The 22079-nt window shown below is 41.5% G+C and overlaps 1 protein-coding gene across 19 annotated transcripts in view; it reads right to left on the reverse strand.

The window, feature by feature from the left end:
• Window positions 1–22079, reverse strand: part of TRPM3 (transient receptor potential cation channel subfamily M member 3) — a 917912-nt gene that overhangs the window by 82197 nt on the left and 813636 nt on the right. For 7 of the 19 annotated variants that reach the window (NM_001366142.2, NM_001366146.2, NM_001366145.2 and 4 more), the window contains 6 exons: window positions 14226–14261; window positions 13935–14075; window positions 9988–10017; window positions 8820–9109; window positions 7611–7839; window positions 4652–4819 (listed from right to left, as the gene is read on the reverse strand). In NM_001366142.2, the coding sequence (NP_001353071.1) occupies window positions 4652–4819; window positions 7611–7839; window positions 8820–9109; window positions 9988–10017; window positions 13935–14075; window positions 14226–14261 (894 nt within the window). The remainder of the gene's footprint in view (window positions 1–4651; window positions 4820–7610; window positions 7840–8819; window positions 9110–9987; window positions 10018–13934; window positions 14076–14225; window positions 14262–22079) is intronic. The other 12 variants (NM_001366143.2, NM_001366141.2, NM_001366151.2 and 9 more) reach the window with 3 other exon arrangements.

Consider the following 22079-nt stretch of genomic DNA (forward strand, 5'->3'; position numbering starts at 1 on the left):
TTAGGTTAGTGATATGGTTTGGCTCTGTGTCCCCACCCAAATCTCATCTTGAATTGTAATCCCCACATGTCAAGGGAGGGACCTGGTGAGAGGTGATTGATTGGATCATGGGGGCAGTTTCCCCCATGCTGTTCTCGTGATAGTGAGTTCTCATGAGAACTGATGGTTTTAAAGTGTGGCACTTCCTCGGTCTGTCACTCTCTCTCTCCTGCCACCATATAAGACATGCCTTGCTTCCCCTTTGCCTTCCACCATGATTGTGAGTTTCCCAAGGTCTCTTCAGCCATGCAGAACTGTGAGTCAATTAAACCTCTTTGGTTTATAAATTACCCAGTCTCAGGTGGTATCTTTATGGCCATGTGAAAACGGGACTAAAACAGTTAGCGACTTCTCCCTGACCCTTAGGCATGTGCCTTGGTTCCCTAATTTTAAACACTGTAAATCCTGAATTACTGCTGGTACTAGTTTTATGGAAGTTCCTGTGAACACTGCCTTCCTCTGCAACTACGTGGGACTAGGAGAAGGATTCCATTCAGGCCTGACCTGGAGAGGTCCTCATCTCCAAGCTGCTGGAAATTTCCTTGAGAACAGAATCATTTCCTTTTCATTCATGACAACAGTAGCAGTGACAACTATAATGACTTAACTGAGAAAGAGTTCCAGGCCCTGGGTCACTCAGACGGGAGACTGAATCCTAACTCAGACACTTCAAATTGGTGGCACCATGGGAAAGGTTTTTAACCACTCTGAGACTTAGTTTCTTTAACTGTAAAATGAGGGTAATAAAGTACTCACTATAGGGTTGGCCTACAAGTCAGGTAGCATCTGGCACTTAGTAAGTGCTCAGTAAACACTAGCTAGGCTTTAAAGTGAACTGAGACCTTCTTAGACACTCCTGACTAAAATGATCTAGTTGAGATCACTCACTCACTAGAACAAAAAAGTGTTATTAGAATCTATAACAGCATAATTTCTTGACTTTAATTCTTCAGTACTGTTCTAACACAAAGCTAGTTTCACAAAGTTTGGAGATTTTTATTACATGTGAAGACAGGGTAAGACTTTATAACTTCAGGACTGACAAGGATTTGGGGCAAGACAGAGTACTGGGAAACAAGCTTAAAGTTGAGAGAGCTCATTATAGAAACAATGCATTAGTTTTGAAGTTGAGAATAGAGACAATCCTAGATAATTCTGGCTTAAAACCACTTTACCTAAAGTATACAAATATTAGTTTCAACTACTTGGTTCATTACCTCAAATATCCACTTTACTCAACTATGTAATAATCACAAATGATTGACCTGTAACCAATAGGATTTCTGGAGAAGGTAACTTCCATTCCTTTGTGGACTCCGGCTGGAAAAGTCCCTTGGGTTAATAAAGTTAGATTCCATACTAAGACTTATTGAAGTGTGTATTTTCATCATTGAGTGGAGTAAATCTTTCTGATGGACATGGCACACTAGACTGTGATAGAATTCTATAAATATTGATCATTGACCTCAAGAAACTGAGGTTACATGACATTTGGCTGTCTATAATTTATGTAACATAATTATCATGCCTCTGTTCTGCTTATTTATATGCTTGAGAATCTAATGCTATTTGCGGACACAATGAGATGAGAGTAAAGACAGCCAGAAGGTTTTTAGGCATCTTGGAGAGTGGCATTTTGGGGTAACTTCTGGGGATGGTGACTTTCCCAACAGAGCTATAGACATGTCCTGGGTCTGTGGACTTGTGGGGACTTTATTAGGCAAAGTGGAGACATTTAACCAGCACTGCATTCAAAACAAAAGCAAAAACCTGTTTTGCCTTTATTATTCAGATATATTCCAGCATGAATGCATTTGTAAAAGGCTTGTCTTTCACGGGTTTAAGTAAAGCATTTTTGACATTTCATTAATTCCAGCCTAAGCAGCTTAACTTGTGATTTTGTTTATGTCTTTTCTCTGTATTCAGACATTTCCTTTGACATTCCTTAAAGCAGAATCTAACAGGGTCAAATATAGACAAAACTGCACAGCATGATTTGAGAATCTATGCTGGCTAGACACAGATGTCAAGGCTGAGAAAGTTCTTTTGAGGTGAACTAAACTACTAAAAGCTACAAAAATGGAGTGAATTGAGGTTGATATTTTCGTGTGTCGTTTTGGAAGGGCCAAAGGAAAATGTCCCATTCCAAGAGAGGATATACTGGTTTAACACAGAAGCTCAAATATCAATCCCATAAAAGGAGGGGAAGTGCCAATGAGCTGCACTCTGCAGTTCTGTCCAAGTTCTGTCCACTGACCAGTGCCTGAGCAGTGACAGAATTTGCCATCAGAGTCAAGGGAAGGGTCCACTTTACAGACAACTGCTGTCCAGCCCTGAGTTTGCCAGGCCACATGTCCTTTCCTTCTTTCCTTCTCCCTGCTGTTTCTGCCTGTGGAGAAGAAGCTTGGGCAGCAAAGCTCTTGCAGAACCTTCTACTGGGCTCTTAGTAAACAACGTCAGGGTCTATTCTCTTGTTACTAAACTTTGCTCTTAGTCTAGAGATGCATCTCTTATGGTGGCTTCTTGAAGGATCAGGTTCTCAAAGCTCTAGGCTGAGCAGGGGAAGCTACCTCCCTTTGCTTTCTTCCTTGAGACCCAACCAGAGAGAATGCTGATTCAGTTTCTGGATGTCTTCCTAGGATGTGTGCTGATGTCAGGACTGTGCCACACTTGACTTTGGAGGCTCATTCATCACTTTTGGATTCTTTCTGCTACATGGTGGACCAAATCGGCTGAGTGGCCACACTTGAGACTAGAGAGACATTCTCTCTCACCCTTAACCTATTGTCTAAAAGTGTGGCTGATGGAGTCTATATGCCTGGGTTCTAATCTTAGCTTTGCCATGAACAGGCTGGGTATCCTTGAGCAATTTAACCTCTATGACTGTCAGCTTCCTCATTTGTAAAATGGGGATTAGGACTGGGTGTGGTGGCTCACACCTGTAATCCCAGCACTATGGGAGGCCAAGGCTAGAGGACTGCTTGAAACCAGGAGTTCAAGATTAGCCTGGGCAATCTCTTAAAAAAAAAAAAAAAAAAAGGCCAGGTGTTGTGGTGTGCACCTGCATTCCCAGCTACTTGGGAGGCTGAGGTGTGAGGATCCCTTGAGCCCAGAGGATCCCTTGAATCCCATTGAGGTTACAATGAGCTATAATCACACCATTTTACTCCAGCCTGGGTGACAGAGTGAGACCCTGTCTCTAAAAATAAATAAATAAATAAAATGGGGATAATAATAGTGCCTATCTTGTGGGACTTTTGTGAGGATTCCATTAGTAAGTATGTGTAAAGCACTTAGCACTGTTAAAACAGTATTAGTTCACAGTGTGCCAGTCTCCAATATAAGTAGTTTACAGGCACACTTTTTACACGAGACAACTACTTGTGAGGTAGACAACATTATTGTTCCTGTGTTTGAGGTTATAAAATTGTGCCCAAGGTCACACAGCAAGTAGGTAATGGGGCAGGATTCTGGCTACAGAGCACATGTTCAGCTGAAATATTCCATAAAGATTCAGTATTACTATTGCCAATTTTCTTCTAATGATCAAACTATTATATTCTATTCAGAGGACAAAACTATGGTGAGATTGTTAGGGAAGACAGTCGTCTGTTACAGAGCTGAGCCGACTCCTCCACAGATTTTTATACAAATCCTCAAACTGAAACAAAAGTTGGCCTTTCATTCAGTAAGTCAGGGATTATGTCTGCAAATAGATCTTTAGGAGAAGCCTACTGGAAGCAAATATTGTTTACCTGCAGGAGAAACAATTCACACTGCTGTCCTACTAGGATAATAATGCAAAGGCCTTTTGTCACCTGAGCAAAATTAATTTGTGATTTCACCCCTTATAGCTTCTGGGTCACTACAGCAATGGTCATTGGTGGGGGTGGTGAGGGAGGGTGAGGCATATTGAGAAAGTCCTTATGGAGCTGTTGCTTGATGACTTCCAAGCTATGAAGCCTTGTTTGTCCCTTTAACAGAATGTGATATTTTTAGCCTCTGCACATGAGCCAGTGGCAGTCACGCTGCTCAGGCGGGGGTTGCAAGAAGCTGTCCCATGTCCAGCTGCCCCCTTCCCTCTGCAGAACAAAGCCTCTATGCTCTATAATTATATGAGGAAGAGCTAATAAAAGCTTTGCATACAAACCTCAAAATTCAATTAGTGCTGTAATTGTGAGCCTGACCCTGAAGACAGATACAGGCTTAGCTTCTGATCCGCAGAACAGTACCAGTTCAGTGAAGCCGGCTGCTCTCAAATCATGGATTCCCTTTCCTTCTCTGTGTGCTGAGACAGACACATCATCTGGTTGTTTAAAAAGCTTTGCTTGTTTGGAAAATGTAGAGTGTCTTGCTTTAGAATTTCATTGGTTTGTCCTGCACCACTAGCTGGCTGCAAGACTTCACATATGGGTGGACCCTATGGTCATGCTATTTACACTTTTCCAATACCCTGGTCTCAATACTGAAATGAAAGCACTCCATGATTAAACCTGGTGGAAGGCTGGGAACAGATGTCTGACCTAAGGAGTTACTGAATCTTGAGCATATCGGTGGGACAAGTGGATTAGGAATTCTGCCCATAGAGAATAACTGTGCAATGTTTTCTTACTGTGAGCTCCATGTCCTCTTCCTCTTTTTCCTTTGTGGGCTTCTCTGGTTCTTCTGCCTCCTTCTCTTGGAGGTGGATTTCCTGGGCCTGAGACATATAGGGCATGTCGTCTTTGTTCTTGAACTCCAAGCTGAGAATTGAAGGAGGAAGTAGAATTCCCAGAATTACCTAAAGTAATAATAATGATAATAATAATAATCACATTTAAAGGATTAAGATTAGGGTGGTTGTTTAGAATCAGAGAGCCTGAGGTATGGGGTATAAGAGTGTATGCGTGTGTGTGTGTACACATGCACACACAGTTGTTATATGCTCTGTGGGGGACCTGGACATCTGAGTAACTAACATATTAACATATTAATACTAAGAGGATCATTTTGTCCCATCTAGGAAATATTTTGCACAGCTCAGTCTCATTTTTGGAGGAAAAAAGCATTTTGCCCAAATTTGTCTTACCCAATTAACACCCACTTTGCATGTGGGTAACAGAGGAAAGAGAGACTCTATTTAAGGCAAAAGTGGGAAAGAATTCAGATTTACATTTAGCCATTAGACAGCGCTTGATTTTGACTGTGAAATCAATTCATACATCTGTCCACTGGCATTTTTTTTTTTTTTGCTAATGTGTCAAGTGGAGTGGATTATGTGTTATCTGATTATCTCTGCAAAAAAAAAAAAAAATGCTGTCCTAAGTTGACCTTGAGAGAATACATGTAGGAAAGCATTTAATTCATTTTAGGGCATCTTCCTGGTATTTGCTACGAGAACAGCAGAAACACAAACACACATACACACACACACACCCCCCAGTGGGCTCCGTATGTGCTGAGAGAGTCCCCTTACACACAAGCCCCAGGAGAAGCCAGCGCTGTATTTCTCTCATGTATAAACATCACGCATAAATCTATGCAAGGACACTAAATACGGAAGCCTTTCTTCTGAGAGGGCGGTCTCATTCTTCAGAATGAACAAGTGTGTTTCTGCATGATAATACTGATGTCTGACTGTATTCCCCAAGTCCTCTCTCACCTCTTCTCTCAATCCTAAAACAATTCTGGGGCACAAGACTTCTGAAGATGAACCTCCTTAAAGAAACTGCTCCAAGATGAGGGGCTAAGACTCCTCTGAAGGGTCAGGAAAAATGATCCTGAAGTAATGAGGCAGGAACAGTCCTTGCTTGAATGCCCACAGGGACGCCAAAGTAGTTCAGGGAAAATGGCTGTGAATTCATGATGCTGAATTCTGGGTGCCTGGCCGGCCTACGAAGGCTCAGGTGGCATGCTGGCATCTTCAGGGGACATGACACCCTGTCCTCGGAGCTGAGAGCCAGCATGACTCCCTTCCTAAGGCCGGGCTTGGCGGTCACCAGCAGTGTGGCTATGGAGTGCCCATGACCCACATCACAGAACCTTTCTGTGACTCTAGGCCAAGAGCCCACAGGAAGAGTGGTATGGAGAAGGGGTATTGGTCCCATAAAATGGTGGGTGTCAGGGGCAGGGGTGAGGTTGGGGAGGGGAGGAAATGGGAAATGGGGCCATATAGGTCAAAGGGAACAAAGTTGCAGATATGTAGGATGAGTATGTACCATACAGATGTAATGTACAATACGAGGACTCTAGCTGAAATATTGTACTGTATACTGGAAATATGCTAAGAGAGTGGATTTTAGGTGCTCTTACACACACAGGGAAGGGTAATGAGGCAAGATGATGGATATGTTAATTTGCTTGACTAGAGTGACCATTTCACTATGTATATCAAAACATCATGTTGTGGCTGGGTGCCAGTGGTTCATGCCTGTAATCCCAGCACTTTGGGAGGCCAAAGCGGGTGGATCACTTGAGGTCAGGAGTTCAAGACCAGGCTGACCAACATGATGAAACCCCGTCTGTACTAGAAATACAAAAATTAGCCAGGCATGGTGGCTTGTGCCTATAATCCCAGCTACTCGGGAGGCTGAGGTAGGAGAATCGCTTGAACCTGGGAGGTGGACGTTGCAGTGAGCCAAGATCACACCACTGCACTCCAGCCTGGGTGACAGAGCAAGACCTTGTCTCAAAAACAAAACAAAACAAAACAAAAACCAAAAAACTCTCAAAAAACCCATCTTGTTGTATACCTTAAATTAAAACAAACAAAAAACTCCCCATATTCTTTCAGTCTTCCATCTCCCATTTTTTTCTGTCTTTCTTTTCCTTTTTCAGTTTCACATTTTCCTTGAAAAACACTGAAAAGAACATAAAAAAAGCAAACGCTATACACCATCCTATTTCCCTTAAAAACAGTAACATCTCTTTCACAGTCCATTCAACCTCAAAGGTAACCACTGCGGACAATTTACTATGTGTCCTTCCTGATTTTTATAGGATAATTTATACAGACATAACTATACATAGACACATTAAAAATGGCCTCAGATTATATACAGTGGTCTGTGACTTGTTTTTCTTCATTTAAGAATAGATTAGGATTATCTAGCAATGGCTTTCCAAGTAGATCTATCTCAGTTTTATCTTAGTTTAAAAAGACCTCTCAAGCACATCTGGTAAGAGCCAATGTCTCTATGACATGATGCCAAGGAGGGCCAGGGGTTCAGGCACCCTCTGCAGCGACAAGGTGGCCTAGGTGGGGACTCCTGGTGCAGCTGGCTTTGCTTGTGCAAATGGCAGCCCCTGCAGTACCTGTGCGTGGCCATCCCCTTTGACTCCTCCGAAAAATATTAATGTCCAGGCATCCTCCATAGAGATGCTAATGCAGCAGGACCCAGGGGGAGGCCCCAGCCTCTATATGGAATAAACAAAACCAAGCAACACTCTACAGGATTCTGAGGCACAGTCAGGATTTAGAACCTCCCTCCTGAGATAAGAGGATGCCCAATTCCATGGCAGATTTTGGCTGGGAAAACTCTAACCCACCCGCCGGTCCTCATAGCCAGGAGGGCCTTATTGGGCGCCCTGACCTTGAGGCCTGAGTTCTTGCGCATGCGGAGCCGGCCCATCCACATGTCGGTGAGCAGCATCTGGCTGCACGTGTGCGCGATGAAGTCGCGGTGTTTGGCAGCCACGGCAAGCTGCAGGCACGTGGCGTTGCTCCAGTTCTTCAGCTCATACGTCAGCAGTTTCATGGCCAGCTGTTCGTCCTGCTTGTAGGACTGGTCCAGGAGCTCCACAGCCAGCTGGCCAAAGTCTCTGAAAGACAGAATGGGTGGAAGAGTCCTTCAGGTCAGCTTGGAGACTTATAAGGTAAAAGTGGACCTGCTGGCCAACCAGAAAATGGGGTCACTGGATGATGTAGGTGTTTCATATGGGGTCTAGTCTGTTTGTAAATTCATCCAGCCAACATCCACTAAGCATCTACTATGTGCCGGATACCATGTATAGAACTGGGGGTATAAGTCAAACAATACATGATCTCTGTACTCAGGCCCTCAGATTCAGTCATATGAGTGTAGGAGGTGGAGCAAGCAATCAATAGAGTACAGTATGTCATCGTCGTCTTCTTTTTTTTTTTTTTTTTTTTTTTTTGAGACAGGGTCTCTCTCTGTTTCCCAGGCTGTAGTGCAGTGGAATGATCATGGCTCACTGCAGCCTTGACCCCCTGGGCTCAAGAGATCCTCCCACCTTAGCTTCCTGAGCAGCTAGGACTACAGGCGTGCACCATCACACCCAGCTAATTTTTAATTTTTTTTTTGGAGATGGGGTCTTGCTATGTTGCCCAGGCTGGTCTTAAACTTCTGGGCTCAAACGATCCACACACCTCAGCCTCCCAAAGTGCTGGGATTACAGGCACGAGTCACTGCACCAGGCAGTATGTCCTGTTAAATGTGTCAAACTTCAGTTCAAATTCCAGCCTTGCCACCACAAATGTGTGATCTTGGACAGGTTACTTAAATTCTCTGAGCCCCATTTTTCCTAGCTGAAAGAAGTGCATAACTACGGGGCCTACCTCATGGGGAAGTTGACAGGATGAAATGTTCCATGTTTCTGTAGGTACCACCATCTGTGGCACTGTGCACAATAAAGGGGAATTGTTTGTGTCCATCCTGTGTGTGCATCACTGGGGTGATACTGATTTCCCTTAAAGTTCTGAGTAGCTCAGACTCTCCAGCACTGGGAGCCCACCTTTCCTCCTCTCCCCCTGACCAGCCCATTTTGCTGGGCGGACCCACCTGGAATTGTGATTCAGCTCCTGGGAAATGTCGTCAACCATGTCGTTCTCAGAGGCCTCATGAGCCATGGCTTTGCAGAGCTTGCAGGCCACCAGGGCCTTGGCCATGGCCTCCTCACCGTGCTGCCAGAAGAACAGGGCCATCTTCTGCCGCTTCATGAGAACAGCCCACACCATGAGCTCATGGAAAGGGAAGGGGAAGTGGTTGATCTCAGGATCATCCAAGTCAATGTCCACCTCTTCTTCACGTTTCTTGGTTGTCTTTCTTCCTCGCCTCAAGGGAATATCATCCTGTAATTACAGGGAAACCACACAGACTGAGTTAGAAATGAATTGGTTCATTTCAGCAAGTAGCAGTTGTATATCTTCTCCCAGCTAGCTCTGGGATCAATACTGAAATGAACGAGGCCAGCTCCTGTCCTAAAAGAACTCACAAGCTCATCCATGCCCAACTTTAAAACAAGTGATGATAAATGCATAAGCACAGTGCTGAGGGAACATGTCAGTGTTACACTCTGATTAAAAAAATTATTTTTTAATGGGCCATTTTCTTTCTTTTTACTTCTGTCCATTTATTTCTTCAAAAGGTAATGTTTGTACCTAATGATGGACAGCACTACCCTTTTTGCTGAAAGGATAAGGACATCCTAGATTTTTATTTGCATATATGACAGTAACCACATGAACAAAAGATGGCAAATGGATAATTTATCTCAAGTTTCTGAATACCTATTAGATGCATTTCTGAAGTAGTTCTGGCCTTTAGACCTGTCATCACTTGTAAACACTCATGAATAGATTTTGATTACTAGAATTTATGTGCTTCCTTGGTTTTCAGGTTAGTATTTCAAATAGGATTTTTTTTTGTTTGCATTGCAGATATAACCTCATGGTGGAATTTTCAAAGGTGCTGTGAGCAACCCTTATGACACATTATATATATATATTATTATATATATATAATATATACATACTATAGTATGTAGTATATATAGTATTACACATTATATATACTATATATTTATAGTATATATATATTATATATAGTATATATATTATGTGTATATACACTATATATTATTTTATATATATACTATATATGTAGCATATATATAATGGGTAATAAAGAGAATAAATCATTGACACTAATAATTTGGACAAACACTTACCTCCATTCCCAGCAGTTTCAAGGCTTTGGGCTGTTAAAAAAAACGTTGTGAACAAAGTTAGATCAGTTAGATCTTTCTTTCATAAAGGTAAGAAGAGTCCTATTATATATTTTTTGTTTTGTTTTGTTTTGTTTTTATTGAGACAAGGTCTCACTTTGTCACCTGAGTTGGAGTGTAGAGGCATGATCATGGTTCACTGCAGCCTCAACCTCCCGGGCTCAAGTGATTCTCCTACTTCAGTGCCCCACGTAGCTGAGAGTACAGGTGCATGTTACCACGCTTGGCTAAGTTTTAAAAATGTTTTGTAGAGATGGGGTCTCACTATGTTGCCAGGCTGGTCTCAAGCTCTTGGGCTCAAGTGGTCCTCCCACCTCAGCCTCCCAAAGTACTGGGATTATAGGCATGAGCCACCACACCCAGCCTCCAAGAGTCCTATTATATTTTAAACAGGTAATAGAAGAACACTATTGTACCATATGGCGTTTATTTTATTTTGCTAAATAAAACACCACAAGAAGAACTGATTTATAGAAATTCCAAGAGAATTTTGGATTCGGTGATTTTAATGAATCTACAGAAAATGAGGAAACTAGCCAGGCATAATGAGATTGCCTGAGAATAGAGCCTGCAGGTTTATAATGTCTTTTGTGAACCAAGATTTCTTTCACCTTCCATAACCATCTTGTTTGGGTGACACCTTCACAACATGTAGTATTTGAACAAGTGCTTTGGTCTGAATGTTTTTGCCTCCCAAATTCATATGTTGATATTCTAATTCCAAAGGTGATGGTATTAGGGGGGACACTTTCTGGGAGGTGATTAGATCAAGAGAGAAGAAACCTCAGGAATGGGATTAGTACCCTTATAAAAGAGGCTCAATGCAGCTCATTCACCCTTCTACTGGATGAGGACACAGTGACAAGGTGTCACTATGAATGAGGAAGCAGGCTCTCACCAGACACTAAATCTGCTCGTCCCTAGATATTGGATTTCCTACCCTCCAGAACTGTGAGAAATGAATTTCTGTTGTTATAAGACATCCTGCTGATGGTATTTTGTCGTAGCAGCCTGAATAGACGAAGACAAATGAACAAGGAAACCTTCTATCAAGCAGAATGAATCATGTATTTCTCAAACCTCTGAAGAGCCTCTATTATCTGGAGACCTGGGGTATTATTCAGAAATATATTAATATGTTTAGATTCTTTATGCTGGCCGTTTCCCTGTGCTGCTGCACATCAGGGCAAGGGCGAGTGGGGCCAGAGGGCCTGTGCTGATGGTGGCAAAGGTGCTTAATAGCATGGAAAGTGTCAGCACACAGGAAGCATCATTGGCCATGCTGGGAATGTGCAAAACAGGCACAGGCTGAGTCGGAGAGAAAAGGCAACTCAGAAGAACACAGACCCTGATCTATATTTACCAGGAGGTAATACAAAATTACATCTCTGGGGCCAGGAATAACAATTTTAAGCTTTTAAATATTTCAGAATGGTTGGGCACCATCTTGAAAGTTATTTGAGTAAATGGTAAGTGTACAGCACTTACAGTTCCTCCAAATTGTATTTGGCTATTCATGTTAGAACAGCTCAAACCGAATCTCTCTCTCTCTCATTTTTCTCTCTCTCTTTCAGCTTCTAAAATGACTACTAGGCTAATATCTATTTCATTTTTTTCTTATTTATAGTTACTGGTATTTTTTTAAAAATTCTGTTATATATATTTTTTCATTTTCAAACAAATCCCTGTTGTTAAATTTTAGGTATTTTCAAAGTTCTTTACTAGTTCCACAAAATGCTTTCAGAATCAGAAAAAAACTTTGTTAAATATAAAAATCATGGCTCCACACAGTGGCTCACACCTGTAATCCCAGCAGTTTGGGAGGCCAAGGTGGCAGGTGGATCACCTGAGGTCAAGAGTTTAAGACCAGCCTGGCCAACATGGCGAAACCCCTTCTCTACTAAAAAATACAAAAAATAGCTGAGTGTAGTCGCACATGCCTGTAATGCCGGCTACTCGGGAGGCTGAGGTAGGAGAATTGCTTGAACCTGGGAGGTGGAGGTTGTAGTGAGCTGAGACCACACCACTGCACTCCAGTCTGGGCAACAGGGTGAGACTGCGTCTCAAAAAAAAAAAAAAAAAAATCATGCCCACTACCAGCTAGAGCAGCAGTTCTCAGAATGTGACCCATGGGTCATGAGGGTCCCTGAAACATTTTGAGAGGGTGTGTAAAGTCAAAGCTATTTTCATAATAGTACTAAGATGTAATTGGGTTTGGCACCATCTTGACATTTGTACTAATGGTGCAAAAGCAGTGGTGAGTAAAGCTGCTGGGTGCCTTGGCAAGAACAAAGGCAGTGGTACCCACCTTTACCCGATGTCATTAGACTCCAGTGTTATGCATTTGCAGAAAGCAAATGCAACCGTTTTACTTAAGAATGGCCTTGTTGAGGTCTAAAAAATGATTAACTTTATTAAATCCTTAACCTTGGTTAACCGTCTTTTTACTGTTCTGTGGGATGAAATGGGAAGTATGCCCCTAAAATAGTTCTGCTGTATACTGAACTATTATGGGTTGTCCTGAGGAAATGCACTTATGCGATTGTTTGGATTGTATTATAGCCACTTTTTTTTTTCATGGAATATAATTTTTACTTGAAGGACTGATTGGCAGATGGACTAAGGTTATGTAGACTTGGACCTTTGGCAGATGTTTTTGGAATGACCAAAGTGAGGCTGTTATTTCAAGGAAAACAACTGATCGTATTTGCTGCCAATGACAAAATTCAAACTTTTAAGAAAAAAATTGGGATTCTGGAAAACTTGTATGTACTCCCCCCACCTCCACCATGACTTTGACAGCTTTTCAGTACTGAAAGACATTTCCCATGAGATAGAGGTGATACTAATGAAATTGTATAATAAAATGTGTCAATATTTGGAAGAGCTGCATACCTTAACAAACTAATTTTCCATGACCAATCTATGATGTTACAAGATCCATCAAAGTACAAGATAGACCGTTGGATTTTACTTTGTTATTATTTTATTGTATTGTTTTAGAGTCAGAGTCTCACTATGTTGTTCAGGTTGCAGGGCAGGGGCTACTCACAGGCACTATAATAGTATAATACAGCCTCGAACTCCTGGGCTCAAGCGAGTCTCCTGCCTCAGCCCCCTTAGTAGCTGGGACCATGGCTGGCTAGACTAGTGAATTTCAGTGTAACAGAATTTGAAAAGTTCACTTACATGGTTTTAGATTTCACCTTGCAACTCATTTTTAAGAAACGTTACTTATTAAATTTTGGTGTAGTATCAAAAAAATGATATTTACAATTATATGTAAAGAGGGTTAAAATACTCCTTCCTTTGATATATTTGCTGTGTTTGTCATATATTTTTGTGGGGTCAGATTTTCTTTATATACTTTAACCAGAATATCCTACAACAGACTGAATCCACAAGTAGATATCTAGCCCTCTTCTATTAAGCTGGACATTACAGAAATTTGCAAAAGGTAAAAAATGCTCCTATTATGAACTTATTCTTTGTTTTTGAAAATATGTTTTTGTTTGTAAACATGTTCTTTATGTTAACATATAATGGGATTCCTATGTTTAACTTAAAATGGATTAAATATTTTTAGAGTCTCCATTTAAATTTCTAACATGGTAAATAAACACCAATAGGTAGAATTCCCATAGATAAAAGCTCCTTGAGGTTCTCAACAATTTTTAAAGGTATAAAGACCCAAAACCTGGAAAACTGCTGAGTTTAATAATCTCAATGATAAGATTAATTTGAATTTCATTACTTTTCTTTGATTGTTTAGGTTCACTCTCAGCGCAATTTTCTGATTTTAATTCCCCTTGGAGACAAAGAAGCCACAACCCAAATCCCATACACCCTAGTCCTCCCAGGAAGGGCCCCGAATTTGCAGCCAGCCTCACCCTCTTGGGGCCGAAGAGGTTGTGGTAGAGGGTCCGGAAGCGCTTGCGCGTGTAGTTGCAGCGATAAGCCCCGCCCATCAGGTACTCGATCACCAGGCCGATGTCAATCAGGCTGATTCTGTAGTCTGGGGGCAGGTTCCCCTATCAGGGTAGAATGAAACAAACAGACAAATCCAAAAGACAACGTGGTTTACTAGGGATTCTACTTCACGTATTCTGTAACTAGAGTAAAAAAAAAATAATGAAAAAAGAAACATATGAATGTATTATTATGCTGGTTAATTAATTCACCTTAAAATAGATCCAACCGAAACCTGGATACTCTCGCTTGGAAAGAAGACATAAGTTAAATAAGAAGATGCAGTAATCGTCGGCAATAATAGAAAATCAAAATATTTATTCAAGTCTTCAGCTGGGGAGAAAAAAACACCAGTGTAGAAGAAAGAAACACAAGGCTAGACAGGGCAAATGCTATCACTCCCAGGCACTAGGAACTAGGTTTCCCCAGATGCTCCCCAAGCCCGCATTTCTGCCTCTGACCCAGGCCTGTTACCACTCTCTTGATATCATTTGGTTTCTACCACCCTTTAAAGGAAGACTCCTTTCAGAAGATGAGTGTCATTACCAGAGCCTCCATCAGCTGGGATTTTAGGACTCGGGTCTCCTTTAATACAAAACCTCTATCCATAATTTTAAAAAATTGACACTTTTTTCATAAAAGAAGAGCAATATTTAGGGAGGGGATTTTGGGTGTCAGAATGAGGTTGTATATGAACATCCCTTGCATTTAAAGAGAAGGGGGAGAGAAATTGGAGGAGACATTTTTATCAATGGAGTATTTATTTTTCTAGAATTAAGGAGATTTTCATTTTTTCTTTTAAAGAGAGTAACATTTCTTAAAGATCTAGAGTTATGGTGTCTTTTTTAGCTGTTTGCCATCTATACATGCAAAAATAGTAAAGATTTTCTTATTATTTACTCACTACTGCTTTCTACTTCTAAAGTTTAGGTTCTTAAGAAAATTTTTGCTGTTAGGTCAAGGGAGAGTTAGTTCCATTTGTGAGAAAGTCTGAGTGCATAGTGAATTCCAAAGGTCATGATTAATCCACTCTCACTGCCTGGTGTAGCTCCTTCTTGCGGGAGAGCGCTCTATACCATGAATGGCTGGGTGTCACACTGCTTAGGAAGCCTCATGCCCTTAGATCTATTTGGGACAGACACAAGGGGCTCCATCCACTTTTGTCCTTAATGAAGGACCCACCCAGGATGCTGTGTGAGATTTCTGCCACTTCACAGAAGACGTGCATTATGTATAGTGGTGGTTTTCCAACTTTGGTGGCATCAGAATACCCTGGGGAACTTGGTGACATTACAAACGGCTGGACTTTGTCTCACCTACTTCAATGTATCGGGGCCTCTGTGGCCTTTCCTAGCTCCTCAGGTGATTCTGATGCACACTCAAGTTTGTCAAACTGCTTGTCTACTCAGTAAGTTTCTGGTGGTAGTGGTAGATTAGGCAGCAGAACTGGGAAATTCATAGTGTCAAAAGTTAATTGCTTTCAGTCAGAAATTAATTAAAATTTTTTTGCTAACCTGAGGGTAGGTTTTCAGTTGTCCTTACTCAGCTTTTCTATGGGCAACTGTATCCATTTGAAGGTTTTGGGATTCAGGATTAGAGGTATCCCGCTGCATCCTATCATTAAACCTATAGCTTTACATGTTTCTTGTTTGATTTATCTTTATATCCTGAGAGCCTCTTATAATATGCCTGGCATATGGTGGGCACTCAGAGTGTTTTTGTTGAAAATGTAAACCAGTAAAACAGTGAAATTAATTGATGTTGTTGGGATCAAGTCTGGGTTTGGGTTTTTGAGTATTATGTTCTCAGTAACAAAACCAAGTAGCCACAATCTTGTTAGTCATCCCTGGTTGGAATAGCCCTAGTTCACTATGGAAATTTGCTCTGAAATACAGGTAATGCTGTATCTGGAATTCAGTGGCTATCCTCAATGGAGTGAGAACAAATAGATAGTAATTGAAGCACCAGCCTCAGGCATATAAGACTCCATTGCTGCTTTTTTTTTTTTTTTTTTTTTTTTGAGACAGAGTTTCACTCTTGTTGCCCAGGCTGGAGTGCAATGGCGTGATTTGGGCTCACTGCAACCTCTGCCTCCTGGGTTCAAGTGATTCTCCTGCCTCAGCCTCCCGAGTAGCTTGGACTACAGGTGTATGCCACCATGCCCAGCTAATTTGTGTATTTTTAGTAGAGACAGGGTTTTGCCATGTTGGCCAGGCTAGTCTCGAACTCCTGACCTCAGGTGATCCTCCCGCCTCGGCCTCCCAAAGTGCTGGGATTACAGGTGTGAGCCACCATGCCCAGCCCATTGCTGCTTTTTAGACTTCTTGCTGTCCCCAGAATTAGCTCCCACCCCATCCCACTGTGTTCTACCTCTCCCTTGGCTTGGGGTACATGGTAGGCTTGGGCATCTAACTGGAGCCAGCCAGGCAAAATGGGGCTGTGTGAAGGGCATCATATATGAGGTGGAACATTTTGAGACACAGACCCCTTCCGTCCTTGACCTTGGCCCTCCACAGCCTAATCTGGCATCCATTTGATGAGCTGAATAGTCCCCTCACAAAAATGACCTCTACCCTCCTCAGAATTTCAAAATCTCCTTTGTTTGAAGATTATCTTTATCCATCTAACTGAATCAGCAAGCTAAGCTATCCTCAGGCTAAAAAAGACCAATTGTCTGACTTCTTTATGCAAAGCATGGCAAAAAATATTAAAAAGGGAGCTCAGAGAAAGTTTTAAGATAGTAACTTTTCATGTATTAGCCTTCCCATAAAACTAAACTGAGTTTAAAAATAGTACTAATGCAACCACTTTTCTCCATTATTTTGGGGCAGGCTAACAAGGCCACAGTTTCTGTATCCTTTGGCTTTCCTGGACTGTTAGGCGAGGCTGTTATTTAAAGAGTAGAAGAGTCTCAGAGACTGGACTGGCCTGGGTAAGCCTCATTCATAGCCACAGGGCTCCTATGGGGATGACCGCCCGAGGATGCCCACCCATCGTGTCATTTTCCCTGGCAGGGTGAGGAGGAAGCACACCAGTTTCCAGTCAGCTGCCCCGGGCTTCTATCTGTCCTTTGGCCAGCAGACACTTTCCCTTAAGCTCTCAGATTTCTTTCCAGTGAAAGGGGTTTGCACTCCATGGCCTTTATGGTCTGCAGTGTTCAAAGGCCAGGTTTCAGGAAAATCCTCAAAGGACTTTTTGTGATGCTATAAAAAGGCAATCAGAGCAGATCTATAAATTTGTGCCTAGTTTTAATCTTGTAGGAATTCAAAAAATTTTAAGTGTGGGCTCACACCTGTAATCCTAGCACTTTGGGAGGCCAAGGTGGGTGGATTGCCTGAGCTCAGGAGTTTGAGACCAGCCTGGGCAACATGGTGAAACCCCGTCTGTACTAAAATACAAAAAATTAGTGGGGCATGGTGGCATGCACCTGTAGTCTCAGCTACTCAGGAGGCTGAGGCAGAATCGCTTGAACCCGGGAGGCAGATGTTGAAGTGAGCCGAGATTGCACCACTGCATTACCATCTGGGCGACAGAGCAAGACTCTGTCTTAAAAAAAAAAAAAAAAAAAAAAAATTAAAATGTGGGTAATACCAAGCCTAACACCTATGTATTTTGCTTTGAGAAACTTAGGTGTAAGCATCAGTTAGAATTCTAAAAATAAGACACCAATATTGCTTGAAGACCAATACTGAAAGGGAATATTTATGCTTTCAAGGTGTCTTTGGGAGTTGTCAGGAAAGTGATTATAGTAAAATTCAAAATCAATAAACATTTAAGGGGCAAATAGAACATTTTTAGAAAATGGCTATATCCATAAAGGACTTTTAGCGGTATATATTGGCAAGCAAGCAGGTGCTGGGATCGTCTCATATAAAGCTTGATTCTTTCAGAATGATTTATGTTTGGTCAGCCCTGAAGGAGGATAAATGATTCTGTGACCAGTGCCGGGGGGGGGGGGGGCCTGCGTTCTGTTTGACCACAAGGGGGCGATATTCACCTAACCGAAGCCAATGAGAATTCCTCCCTTCCCAGCAGCATTTTCCTGCCTCTTCCGTTTTTTGTTTTGTTTTGTTTTTTTCTTTTGAGACGGAGTTTCACTCTTGTCGCCCAGGCTGGAGTGCAATGGTGTGATCTCGACTCACTGCAACCTCCGCCTCCCGGGTTCAAGTGATTCTCCTGCCTCAGCCTCCAGTGTAGTTGGGATTACAGGCATGTGCCATCATGCCAGCTAATTTTTTTGTATTTTTAGGAGAGATGGGGTTTCACCATGTTGGTCAGGCTGGTCTCGAACTCCTGACCTCAGGTGATCCACTCATCTCGGCCTCCCAAAGTGTTGGGATTACAGGCATGAGCCACCGCTATAAAACATGTATGGTATATATATGTTTTATATGTACTATAAGGCCATATAAACAAACCCAGAGTGGATGAAGGATTAGGCGCTAAGGAATGAGTCAGATGCTCTCCTGTAAGTGATATTTGGAGGAGTGAAAATTTAACAAGTAATGTGTTTGCATTCAGCCTGCAAGGCTGGATCTCATCTGTTTCTTCACAGAGATTTTAGGGAGCAAAGAAGTTAGGGAATTACTTTTACCTTTCTTACTAGGAAGAGTGGAAACCTTCTTCGGGAGGAAGAAATCGGTTTTATAACATGAATAAAATTGAGTACAATTTAGGCCCCTTGGGATAGGTGTCCTGCGTGGACTCTGAGGGGGATGGCAGCCTCAGTGCATGATACTAAGCTGGGCCAATGGCCTTGACCACTGGGACCTGTGGATGTCACAGATGATGCATTTGCATTGCTTCTCCTAGGATGGGTATTGCCAGGTAGAGGGGAACTTATGGATACTCATTCAGGAGCAGCCAGCAACATGACCCCATAGAGGAAACAGCTCTGGGTTGGGCCATGGTCCTGACCCCAAGTGACCCTGGCCAGATCACTTCCTGTCTCTGTACCTCGGTTTATGCTGTGAAAATAGGTGGCTTGGACACAATAACTTCTAAGATTCTGTCTATTTCTAAAAATCCAACTGTATGACCACTACTTGGCAGGCTGTTCTTACTCCTTTCGGCCCACTGGCCAAAGACCCTGTTCAGAGCTTCCAAGGTTGATGTAGCTTCCAGTGATCCCCTGGAGTTTGGTTAGTGGAACCAGAGGCTTGTAGACAAGGGATGGTAAAAGGATAGATGGGGATGGGGTGGTGCTCAGTGCATCCAGCTCCTCTGGAAAAAGCAGAGAAGGTGAGCAGTACCTCACATGCCAACAGGTAAAGTCCAAACACCTTCTGGAGGAGACTTCCTTTGCTTGGGTCCTTTTCAAATTAGAAGTCAAAAAGGATACTGGAGGAACAGTCATTCTGCCTGCTGTTTCTGTTCTAGCACTTCCCCCTCCCCCTTCGGTAATGACTTTGGTAATTGGTAAAGCCTGAACTATTATTTCCCATTTCATGCCTTAACAGTGGGAGGTCATGTGATTCAAGTAATTTGCTAGACAGGCTTGGGTTCTATGAGTAGGTACGATTTGACAACTTGAAAATGTTGTCTTCTTTTTTCATGCTATGAACTGCTAACCTGAAGCTAAGGTTTACTTCGTGCCATGCATAAGGAAACCTTTTAATTAAAAGCATAGTTTAAATTCACTTATTAGATCTGCTCTTCAAAATGGTTGGGGTTTTTCAGATGTCAGCTCACCATATCACTATCAGATCTCAACTGTTTAGGAAAACTGTCTTCCTTTGAAACTCATAACAAGCCTTCAAAACAAGATTGGTTCCTTCTGAGATACATAAGATATAAAATGATTGCGGTTGTCAGGTTTACCAAGGAAGTGTGAAGAAAAGACTCCCCTGGGACAGCTTGTATAATAAAGAAAAGTGGACTGCAGTTGGTGTGAGTAATCACCCGGTAGGGGCTTCATCTGGTGAGAGCTCAGGGGAAAAGAGGACATCACCCCAATGTACAGCCCCTTAACATGGCAATATATCGGGCAACCAATCCTCTGAAATATAATAATGCTTTTGCAAATTTCCATGCATTTAGCAGATGGGATTATGCAAATGTCCTTTCCTTACCCAAAGTGTGTCTGAAATGCCTTTTTTTTTTTTTTTTTTTATTCTGAAAAGCTCTGGGTCTTAATTCCCATGTAAATGAACTTTAAATTATCATAATTTCACCACTACTTCCACATAACACTCAAATAGCATCCTCTTTTGGTGGGGAAGGATAGTATAGGTAATTTGAAGTATTAGCACATTTAAGAAAGGAAAAAACTACTTTAAAACGTACAGAGGCACAAAGTGAGCAGACAGCTACTAAAATGGCAGGTTATATTCCACAGAAAAGCAGACAGACTTGGGCCACTCTGGTTTAATATGAGAGCATTGGTACATTCAATGGATTTATGCATGAAAATAGTTCAGGGAACTGGGTTGGTTTAAAACAATTTAAATTTCTGATTAATGCTGAAGTGCCACTCTTTTTACCTCATTGCTCCTAGATTGTTCCCTTGATATAAATAATTTGAGATTTCAAAACAAGCTTGGGAGCAATTCCCCACATTCAGTTCTGTTGGTCTCAAAGAAGAGGTAAACTGGAGATGTCATGCTGATTGACTTATGATGGTCTGATAATTCCTCAATGCATTCCTTTGGTTCTTAAGAGTTATTTACATATAGTTTTACAGATGTATTATCAAACACTATGCTTAAGGTCTAGGACTGTGTTCCTAACTCATGAATAGCGTTTTGTACCAGAGTTAATAACTTATTCATTAATTTTGTCCAGGTTAAATATATATGCACACATATATTTCCCCCCATAATTGTAAAGAAGAAAGCACACATTAATTATTATTATTTTCTTTAATTTTGAAAATTGCTTTAAGTTCCCAAGATTTTCTTAGCATTTTAACTCTAGTTTTGTAGCCTTTGATTATCCTATTGGCCTAAATTGCTAGAAGTCACTTGAAACCACCTGAAAGTCACCTGAAACCACCTGAAAATTGCTGAAAGTCACCTGAGAAAGTTGTGCACCAATGTTAACTTCTCCCTTATTCACTTCTTCCCCAAACACAAAACAAACAAAAGTCTTCATTTTCAGCTCCCTTAATCCATATAACATAAAATGTAGGCCTTGTGACTCCTGTGACTACCATTGTTCATCTTTCTTGCTCTCCCATCATCAGATACTTACCTTAGTCCTGGAAATAATGCATTCTGCATTTCCTGCTTCTACTTTTTCCCAAGGGAAGAAATTAAACATTGGCTTTCTGTGTCTCCCTGTCTTATTGGCAGTCTCTTTTTCCAGGTAAAAGGATAAATTATTTCTAGACCAGTTCAGTACTATTCTTGGTCATTTGTTATCATTTTTTCCAGTTACTAAATTTGCAAGTAAATGGTAACTGCATGCTTATATAATGATTTTCTTGCTCTAATATTTGGATCATACTTAAAAGGAAAAAAAAAAGCTGCTTTTATTCCTTCTTCCTCCCAAATTCTTACCATCCTGTTCTTTCTTGTTAGTCTATATTATTTTTCAGGTACATCTTTAGCTGAGAAGCTACAAAAAACCCTACCTTAGAGATACTTTACATGCCTTCTAATCATACAAGTGACGTGAGCAAATGCAAAAGGCAGCTCAAGGGATTTCAGAAAAGAGAAAACAATATTGCAAAGCAGAGTCCTATGGGGAAAAGAAAGTAATGAGAGGGATTTTAATAATTTATACTCAGTGAAATCTAACTGCAAAAATCCCTTTGAAAATTAGACAAGACCTTATTGCTGGGAGGCTGGGTCATTGAATTGGATGAGCGACTCTTTTTAAAGGTTTGGGTTGGTGATGACTGGGATTGAGGGACAAAGGCATAGCTGTCTCTTTAGAAAACCTCACAATTCCTTCAGGGACAGAGATTAACTTAAGGTGAAGGAGAGAATACTCCAAGTCATTACTTTAGAAAAACTCAAAACATTTGGTTGAACATGAGCAACAACTATCTCTCTGAAGAAGACACATCGAATGTGTCTACTTCTACTCTTCTGAGTTTAGTTTTCAGGCAATTTTAAGCCAGG

The sequence above is a fragment of the Homo sapiens genome, chromosome 9 (assembly GCF_000001405.40).
Source record: "Homo sapiens chromosome 9, GRCh38.p14 Primary Assembly".
Taxonomy (NCBI): domain Eukaryota; kingdom Metazoa; phylum Chordata; class Mammalia; order Primates; family Hominidae; genus Homo; species Homo sapiens.